Source organism: Homo sapiens, chromosome 4 (genome assembly GCF_000001405.40).
Source record: "Homo sapiens chromosome 4, GRCh38.p14 Primary Assembly".
NCBI classification, from domain to species: domain Eukaryota; kingdom Metazoa; phylum Chordata; class Mammalia; order Primates; family Hominidae; genus Homo; species Homo sapiens.
In genome coordinates this window covers 69985133-69995965 of record NC_000004.12, presented here as the reverse complement: position 1 = coordinate 69995965, position 10833 = coordinate 69985133, and the positions used below count along the sequence as shown (strand labels likewise).

Below are 10833 nucleotides of genomic sequence, written 5' to 3'. Positions count from 1 at the left end.
GTGCTACCCTAGAGGGCCAATGTATTTAAACACTCTGAAGTCCCCCATTTGTTTTTGTTAAATAATGGCAATTATGAGATCACATTATGGAAACTAAAAGTAATGCCCAAAATCTGTCTCTACAAATGATAAAAATAACCGTAACAAAGTGATTTTGCAATAGATGATTGTGAAGACAAAGTAACCAGGAAACAACTGTACCCACTGCATGTTAATCCCACTGTTAGTCTAGCGCTGAGTGAGTCAGATGACAGAAAAGCATGCTGGAGGAAACCAGGCATAGAAATAATTGCAGTGATAAAGATGTTTCCACAAGTATGTGTCCAAGGTGGAACAACTCTATGACACAAATAATACTTACCATGTTATCAAGATTTTACATGTTCTCTGATAACTCGTGGTAACTGGCATAATAAAATTACAGTCTTCATATACTTCAAGAGTTTTTCTTCAAATCATTATTTATCTCATACTTTTACCATCTTCTATTGACTTTAGAATATTTTAAGTTACAAAGTGAACGTAAACATTTGCCAAATTCAGTAATCTTTTGGGTACTATATGATAAAAAATTATTATATTTATGGTGAAATGACTCTAAGTGCTCACTGATACATATCTCACATATGACTGAATATATGTATTTGGAAATTCAATTTAATTTCCTGGAGTTTTTAAGGCTACATATTTTTCCATAGCAGCCATGTGTTGACATGATTACACTAGAGTGAAGGAAAAAATGTTTTCATTACATTCCTAGGAAAATTTGTGTAAAAATTACCCTACTCACTGCTGGTTGGATAACTCAATGTACTAAGAAACGAATATCAAAAACTTATATATAAAGTTGAGGTAAGTTATACAGCCTAGTGCATTGTTCCTCAGAGTGTGCCATATGGGAACATCACAGACAGCATCAGCTGGAGCCTGTGGAAATGTAAATTCTTAGTCCACCTTCGCAAACTTGCTGAGTCAGAATCTTGGGGTTGTCCTAAGGCGTTTGCATTTTAACATTATCTCCAGGTGATTCTTTGGGTACTGTGAAGTTTGAAACAAGGCTGGTCTCAGTGGCTCATGTCTGTAATCCCAGCACTTTGGGAGGCCGAGGCAGGAGGATTGCTTGAGCATAGAAGTTCAAGAATAGCCTAGGCAACATAGTGAGACCCGTATCTCCACAAAAACATAAAAAAAAAAACAACCACATATTTGTCTCTTGAATGCATTAGTTATCCTTAGGCTTTAACCAGTAAAGATAATTTGTGGTTTAATTTTGTATCAGATTTTTTAAGGAAGTATTTATTAGGTAAATTTTTATGCTGTATTGGAACAGCCTTACTGGAAATTATGATTACTCTCTGGGTAATATACAAGAAAATATAAATCATTTCTTAAGGCAAATAAATAATTCAAATTAAATTAGATAGATATTATTCTTATTCTTTTGTCATGAGATTTATAAGCATTATAGATACAAAGTTTCTTCTCATGTGTAAAACAAACACAATCTCTTTACATTCTGAGTGGAAAAAAGTTACATAGGGTTCAGTAACTATTTTATTTTTCCAGAGATGGGGTCTTGCTGCATAGCACAGTCTTGAGTGCATTGGTGAGATCATAGTTCACAGATGCCTGGAACTCCTGGGCTCAAGTGGTCCTACAACCTCAGCCTCATGTTTAGCTGGGACTACAGACATGTGTTATCACTCTTGGTTAATTTAATTTAAATTGTTTTTGGTGGAGACTTGGTCTTGCTATGTTGCCCATGCTGGTCTTGAACTTTTGACCACAAAAATCCTTCTGCCTTAGCCTCCAAGTAGTGCTGGGATTGCAGTCATGAGCCATTGTGCCTGGCCCATGGTTCAGTAACTACTGAACTATATCTGATTTTAAAAATAAACTGCTTCGATTACTTGGGGAAAGTCAAATGATTTTCTTCTTTTCTTCTTTCTTTCTTCTCCCTCTCTTCTCCTTTCTTACCTCTGGTTTTCTTCACCACTTCATTTATCCAACAATACTAGGTACTGTTCTAGTAGATCTAAGGTATTCATGTTCTAGTGAACATAAAGCAAACTAATAGCCCAAAGGCACTAACAAACAGCAAACTACATGGTAAGAAATATTGATACATCTTAATATACACACTTTAAAATTACAGTTAAACTTAACTCATCTACATGTTATGTTGGAATACCAACATGTAGGCATTAGTCCACCCATCATTTTCTGCTTCCCCAAGTTAGGAAGTGTGGGGATTATGTATGATAGGTCAAACAAGGATAGCAGACTAGAAACAAAGGAGTGACCTTCTCGTGTTAGTTATGGTCCCACCCTCCAGGAAGAGCAGACCAATTTAGAAGACTGATGAACCAGAACATGACTTCATATTTTATAATTAAAGAAAACAGATATCTTATCCTCTATGCCAAACACTGTTCTCTTTGAAAATGTCATGACCTTTCGTTACAAAGGAAACATCAACAAAGAACTACTGCTTTATCACAGGTGAGGCAATACAATTTTTGCTTAAGGATACAACCCATGAATGGGTATTTGTAGTGATGTTTATGCTGGGCTCTCCTCAATCTTGCTTCTCTATCTTCTTTACTGCCGTCTCCTTCTCCTCTTCCTCTTCATCCTCCTTGTCTTCCTGCTGCTCCAGTTGCTGCTCCTCCTTCTCCTTATTCTGCAATTCTCTTATGATGGAAACATGAAACCATTTATGACCAATATCCATGATATTTATTTATTTAACTAAAAATGTTATATTATGTTCCTGTTTGAATTACTAAAATGACATATATGATTGACAAATGCTGAACAACATATGATAATCTACTAGATAGATAGAATGTTGTTTATTCTGGAGACATGACATGAGAAGCTTTACTCTTGTTCTTAAGGAGTTTACAGTATAATTTGTGAATCAGACAAGGATAAAGGCTAAGACAGAGAAACCCAGGAAAACATGAGTCTAAAATTGGGAGAAGAAGGTCAACAATGGAGTTGCAGATTGGGCACTTATCATCTTATTGATTGTAATCAAACTATGAGATTATTACAGCTTATACAATCAAGATGTGTAGAGTCAGAAGAGAATAGGCTGAGGACAGATATCCTGCTGAGCACTGATGTAATGTGTAAGAGAAAATAGAAAGTCTATGAAAAAAATCTGTGATGGAAAAGAATAGCAGAAGAGGTATTTCTCGGCTGTTTGTATGTTGTGGAAGCCAAGAGGATGAAACATCAGGAAGGAAATGTTAATTACCATGTTGCAGTGACCTTATAGGTTGCTTAGTTTGCTTTATGTCTTTAAACTAAAATTTTCTTATTTATAAAATGTTACAGTAATACGTGAAACTTAAAGGAGAGTATATAAAAATCACATTGTAAATTAAAATGACTCAAATGCAAATATTAGATTCTATCATTATTATAATTTTCATCATCATAATCTTCATGAAAAAGAACATCTTAATTTTTAAAATTCTCCAAGTATAAAGGAGGAAATACAAAACCAGGAACAACAGGAATATATCTCTGGAAAAACATTAGAATCATGTCAATGATCAAGATGTTGCAGAGAGTTACAAATCTGGTCAAGTATAGATTAATTTATAAACAAGTGAAAGTAGAGAGCTTAAATGGGTTAGATCAAATGGGCTCAGTTTTTAATTCAGAGTAGATTGTTTTCTGGAACTGACTACAAGGTAAGATGAGTTGGATATTTCAGAAAACTTAATGATACATTTGGACATTTTATTGAAGGGAAAGGGTGAGAGCTATAAAACTAAATACAAGAATATTATTTGCTTAGCAACATTGTATGCCACATTTATAAAACATAAAATAAATTCTTTTCTTTGTACATTTGCGTTTTCTTGGTAGAGATGCAGTGTAAGAAGATTTAACAATTAGTAGGATTGAGATTTTAGCAAATATAATTAATCAAATTCAGACTTCACTGGAGTTGTTTGAGTTATTGAAAGTATGTACTAAATCATAAATATTAAGTTGTAGGTTAGGAGAATATGGAAAAAAAGAATGAACAGGTAGAACAAAAGGATGTAAAACTATTAAGGGCCAGCAGGGTTCTGTAATGCCAAAGTAAGGGATCTATGCTTCAACCCTTGCCTCCCTTCCAAAATATAAATCAGATCAATGCCTGATCCAATGGCATTTATCTCAATCCAAAGGCTATCTTTGACCTATGGCGCTTCAATCATCTCCTCACCTCTTTTCTGTAATATAGTTTATTTTAATCCACATCTTTCCTTCTCTATTCATGCTGTTTTCATTAGAGTTTTCCCAAACGCAATAAATGTATTTCTACCACAGTAGAATGCAGCCCTGCTATTTCTTCTGCTGGATTTTTTTTTTCATGCTAACTTATGAACATAAGCACTTCATATGTTTTCTAAAATGCCACTGTGCCAGAGAAGCTTTTCTTGACCATCCTATTTTAAATTGCCTCTTTGCCTTAGTCCTGCCTTCTTCATCTTTAGCACACTTATGATTACTTGAGATACTATGTATTATTTTTTCACTTGTTGTTTCTATCTCCCAACTACAGTGTAAACTGCCTGAAGGCCAACTTTCATCTCTCTTAGACCTTGCTGCATGTGCAGTATCTAAAGAGGGCCTTGTCAGGCCATCGAGTGTCACTCAATGTATAAATGAAGGAAAGTAATTGCTGACAAACTCATGGAGAACATTGTTGTGTTCTGAATTCTTGCCTAAAGCTATGGAGTGACATGGGGGTTATCTTCTGGTCTGCAGGGACTGAGATAAGAAAAGTGAGGACTTTGGAGGCTTAGCATATGTGCTGTGACAAAGGAATCCAGGAGCAAATCAAATGTTAGAGTAAATACGTGCAATAATCTAGCTGCGCTTGAAGTCCATATGTTGGTTAGATATAAGATGACAGACCAAATGAGAAATATGTGACTTCGCAGGACCTCTGATACAAGGTGCTTCAGTCAGTTCTACTGAAACTTGAAAAACAAAGTGACGAAAGAAATGTTTTATGTCTGAAATACACAAAAATAGAAATAAAGAGCACATACATAAAAATGTGCTGATATCCATTACTTTTATGAAAAGAATAGTTTTTTATTACTCGGAACAGCAGTAAAACCAGTTTAGCAGTTTGATATTAGAACTATCTAATCAAAGGTCAACTAAGAAGGCAAGTATTATGGCCTTTGTTTTATTTCACATTGCCTTTCTGTCAATTTTGCAAGAACTGGTGGTAGCGTGATGTGGCATCAGGGATGAAAATACACATGTAGAAACTGGATTTGCCACTGAAATATGTACAGAAAAAGAAAATAACAGATTGCCTGTAAAATGTTTCTTCCTGTAAATACATGTAGGTTCTGGCCTGGTGCAGAGTAGATATTTATAGATAATTTTAGTTAATATAATGCAGCACCCAAAATAGCATTTGACACACAGGAGACAATTAAATACTCATTAAATGAGTATCTGAATAAACAAAAGTTATTATCCACTGTCTGCAATTCTAATGTAAATTTCTTTTGTTTTTCCGTCATCATCTTTTATTCTCTGACTTACATACAGCTTAAGTATTGCATTCATATTTAACTTCCCAAAATAATTTTGTAATATATCCTTTCTCGATTAAATGTCATTAGCTATTATCTAATGCCTAGGGGATCAAGTTCAGTCTCCTTCCCATATCATTAATGGATACAGGGAATCCTATTGGAATACAATCTCCCAAATGCTCTGAAAAATAATTGCAATCTTATGAACCATTTCAACGTTGAATTTCAGAACAGTCCTCTTTTATCTCCAAAAGTTTGCTTTATTTTGTAGTGAAATATTTAATCTCTCATAGAATTCGGAACAACTAATTTTGTACACAGAAAGATAAAACTCACTTTCTAAAATGGAAATTGATAATATTTTTATATTCCCTTGTTAGTATTACGTTAGTTCCCGTGGCAATTGCTTATTAGAGTTACTTAGGCCATAACATGTAAATTTCTCACGTGTTACAGATGGTGCTTATGCAGCTTTTCCAAAGATTACATTTTGGGGCACAAAATTTAAACCACATCCAGGGACAGATTTAGTGGCAGAAAACCCTGCAATCAAAACTATACATTTTTCTGATCAAGAGATTTTATGTCACATATCTTTCAGAAGCGTCACCAATTCTCTAAAGTTCTTAAGTATTATATTAATACATATTTTGTTGATGATAAAACTGAGGTTTAAAAACAACAACAGTTAACAACAGTAGTTGTCAGGGCCAAGATAGGGTCTCTTCTCCACAGAGCCCAGACTTTTTTAACCATAGTGGGACAGAGGCTTTATCTCAGAAGCACTTAAATAAATGAATACATCTCAAGGGGTTTCAGAAGACTACAATTTTTAGACTGGAACTGCTGTTGGTTTTATGCTTTGTGCTTGTTTTTCCTCTTTTAACTGTCAGCATTGATATTTCTGGATCGTAAAAACATGTCACTAGACTTAGCTTACCTTTGTAATTATGTCCTGTGTTTACTAAGATGCATTGTAAGCATATGGATAGGAATAAGGATAATACGTTGGGTATGCTGGATACAGCTGATACTATAAATATGTATTATATTAGTGATACCTCCCCTGGATACACACAAAAGAAGATAGAAAATTGCAGGGAATTCAGACAATGACCATGCAAAGGTTTCACAATTGTTGTTCTTAAAAGCTTAGATTGTTAAAGTTGTTAGTATCTTCTATATAATGTACATAATCACTTGAACTATTAGTGATATTGTCCCTTTTCTAAAACACAAATGGTTAAAAGAAGATTAAAAAAAAAGATAAAGCATTTACATTTTCACTGTTTGTTAGAGTTTGTGGTTTTATTATACATGTGGGAACACTGATTACAGGCAATCAGTCCAAACTGGGCTGAAGTCTTCTTAAAAATAATACCTTTAGCTACTACTTTGTCCACCCTTGGGTATTATGGGGAGGTGGAGATTCTCCATGCCACTACTCCTACATTCTTTAATACTCTCTTCTGTTAACACGAGTAGCTACCTTCTTTCTTTGTGCATCTTTGTATTGGGTGCTTGTGATGGTTAATATTAAGTGTCAACTTGAATGAATTGAAGGATGCAAAGTACTGTTTCTGGGTGCATCTGTGAGGATTTTGCCAGAGGAGATTAACATTTGGGTCAGTGGACTGGGAGAGGAAGACCCACCCTCAGTGTGAATGGGCACCATCCAGTTGGTTGCCTCTTAGCTAGCAAAAGCAGGGGGAAGAAGGTGAACTAATCTGGATGGCTGAGTCTTCCAGCTTTCATCTTTCTCCCATGTTGAATGCTTCCTGTCCTTGAATATCGGACTCCAGGTTCTTCAGCCTTTGGACTGTTGGACTTACTCCAGTGGTTTGCCAGGGGCTCTTGGGCCTTTGGTCACAGACTGAAGGCTGCACCATCAGCTTCCCTACTTTTGTGGCTTTTGAAGCCACTGAGACAGAGCCACTGCTGGCTTCCTTGCCCCTCAGCTTGCAGATGGCATATCATAGGACTTCACCTTGTGATTGTGTGAGTCAATTCTCCCTAATAAACTCCCTTTCATATATACACATATCCTATAGTTCTGTCCCTGTGGAGAACCCTGACTAATACAGTGCCATATTTAACAATATATTTATTGTATTAGTAAGGATAATTTTAAAAATCCTATCACATTGATATGACAGTTCAAAATAATATGAGACATCAAGCATACACCCATTAAGAAATATGTTAAAATAAATAAAATTTTCTATCTTACATATGATAGCCAGTTTAATGACTTTATCACCATCCAAAAATGAGAAGGTGGGAACTTACTCTATTAGGTATGTGATTGCCAGCATCTATGCATGGTAGGTTATATATTATACTTAATAGAATTGAAATTGAACCATTTTTTAGGCCAATGGAATTATTCACCAGGCAATGTTAACCTAAGTTCTCAGAGAATAATTATCTTCCTCAGACTGGTATTACGAATTTCCATCTAAATTCTACAAGACATTTGAGACTTTTGTCAGTGTACTGTAAATAAATGCAATCAATGTGCAACATTAGCCATACATAATATGCACATATTTCAGAAGTAAGTATTGATTCTTCCAGGAGAATAAAACATGTTTAGACTCCACAACATCATCAGGAAAATACTTACATAGAATTTTCTTCTTTACCCATGACATTTCTTTGAAAAATTAAGAAACTATTAAAAGTTCAATACATGTTTTATTATCCAGTTTTCCAGTGAATGAAAGTGTCTTACCTCTTTGGATGTATCAGCTCTCTTGAAGAAAAAGAAAGTGAGAGAATAGTTTCTATCTTAATTTTATAATTCAAGATTGAGTATAAAAATACACTTAGCCACAATTATGATTAAACAGAATGGAGACAAAATTATAGGTAAATGATACATTAAGCTGCTATTTTTAGTTCATAACATCTTTAAAGTGAGTTAACAGTAGGTATTTCTATAGTTAATGTCCTGTGTTTAAATATCAGTTCACTTTGATTCGTATTTCATTTGTATGTGAAAGGCAGGGAAAATTCATCACCATAGATAAGGGAGTAAAAACTAAAAAGTGAAACTTTGCATTTGTTTTTTATATGAATATGTTTATAGTAGCTCAAAAGCTACTATAAACTAATAGAGACCACCTGTGTGTTTTCCTCTGTTTATTTTGTTCACACTGTTATGAAGAAATATAGGAATATTTCTTTTATCACAAATTTACAAGTTCTCTAATGAATAACAACTCACATAATAAAATTAAACTCATTATTTCAAATGATTTTTCTATAAATCATCATTTATATAGTTCTTTTACTTTCTTCTATAAATAATTAAATAATTATCTGCAGTGGATAATTATCAGCTGTTTGCAGCTGATTAGATAATTCAACTTACGTAGAAATGAATATCAGAAAATCATTTGTAAAGTTCAAATAAGTTGTAAAACTTACTCTATTGTTCCTCTGAGGGTGCCACATGAGACCATCAGAATCAGCATCAACTGGTGCCTGTTAAAACTCAAATTGTGAATCCCTCTTGCCAAACTTGCTGACTCAGAATCTTGGTGATACACCAGACCTGCATTTTAACACTATCTCCAGGTGATTCTTTGTGTACTATAAGTTTGAAAACCCACATAATAGATTTTAAAATACATTATTTGTCCTCAGACTTGATCCCATAAATAGAACTTATGGTTTAATTTTGCAAGCTGGTTTAGGTACTGCTTTCCTTCTTTAGTCAGGTCAACTTTCTGTTAAGAATAAAAAATACTTATGTTACAAAAACACACAGACCCCAAAGCACTAGATAAAATCAAATTAATTTTATTTAAATGAAAAACTACTGATACAAACAGGAGACAGGGAAATACTAGGTAGAAGAGAGTGGTTCCTCTGCAAAGGCCCCACCCTCAAGCCTGGAAACCCATAGCCCTAAATGAGAACAGGCATTCCTGTTTTTATGCCCAAAAGTTGCCTTTTGGCCCACCATGCCCCCCTATCCTGTATCCATATAAACCCCAGACCCCAAGCTCCAGAAGCAGATGAGTAGAGGAACAGAAGAGCAGAAGAATGGCAGAATGGCATGGCAAAGAAACAGCACGTGAACGCTGAGAGGAATTCGGCTGGGGATGATCAGAGAGGAGATCAGCCACTGGATGGCCAAACTCTAGGGGAAGATCATCTTCCCACTCCCCATCCCTTTTCCAGCTCCTCACCCATCCCACTGAGAACCACCTCCACCATTCAATAAAACCCCCTTATTCATCTGTGTGCAACCTGATTCTTCTTGGGTGCCGGACAAGGACCAGGGTACCAAGAGGGCACTGAGGAGGTTAACACTTAAGCCATCTACAGATGGCAAAGCTAAAAGAGTGCACTGTAATACACACCCACCTGGGCTTTGGGAGTCATGGGCACCCACCCGTAGATGCTACCATGGGGCTGGAGCCCTAAAGCGCTTGCTCTGGCTGTTGTACCTGCCCATCTGCATGCTTCCCCTTCTGTAAGAGGTTTGAGCAGGCGTGGTGGCTGAACAGACACACCTGTCACAGGTCTTGCAAGGGGGGGTCTGGGAACACTCCCATTTCACAATAATCAACCCAAATTATTTCTTAAATTCCTTTTGGAAGGAAAATAAGAAGCAAGTTTACTTCACTGACACGTCAGTGTTTGCAACAAAACACTTTTCAAAATACTTCTGACAGTTACTGGAAACCACTCCTACTTAGAAATAAAGGCCTAGGCTGGGCGCAGTGGCTCATGCCTGTAATCCCAGCACTTTGGGAGACCGAGGCAGGCGGATCACGAGGTCAGAAGATCAAGACCATCCTGGCTAACACGGTGAAACCCCATGTCTACTAAAAATACAAAAAATTAGCCAGGTGTGGTGGCGGGCACCTGTAGTCCCAGCTGCTCGGGAGGCTGAGGTAGGAGAATGGCGTGAACTCGGGAGGTGGAGCTTGCAGTGAGCCGAGATTGCGCCACTGTACTCCAGCCTGGGCAACAGAGCGAGACTCTGTCTCAAAAATAATAATAATAAAATAAGAAATAAAGGCCTAATTTACCCAATATAGGAATTTATTAAGAATTAAATAAGTTAAAACCTTCATTATCAGAGCTTTTAATGTCCATAGGGGGGCAGGCAGATAAATAAGCAAAAAATATTCTGGTAGAGCTAAAATGTATAGCCTTTCTAAGGTTACAGTTGCTAGCCATATATGGCCTCTGAGTCTCAGATTACTCCAAATTGAAGGAGAGTTAAAGTGTGAATACTAATTTCTCC

The 10833-nt window shown here is 36.0% G+C and overlaps 1 long non-coding RNA gene across 2 annotated transcripts; it reads right to left on the bottom strand.

The window, feature by feature from the left end:
- Positions 1-2530: 2530 nt before the first annotated feature.
- On the bottom strand, positions 2531-9075 carry LOC105377269 (uncharacterized). Of its 2 annotated transcripts, XR_001741715.2 has the most exons (3): positions 9000-9075; positions 8302-8322; positions 2531-2693 (listed from the first exon to the last, which is right to left on the bottom strand). It is a non-coding gene; the product is annotated as an uncharacterized LOC105377269 (long non-coding RNA). The 2 variants fall into 2 exon arrangements; XR_938858.2 differs by lacking the exon at positions 8302-8322.
- Positions 9076-10833: the final 1758 nt, after the last annotated feature.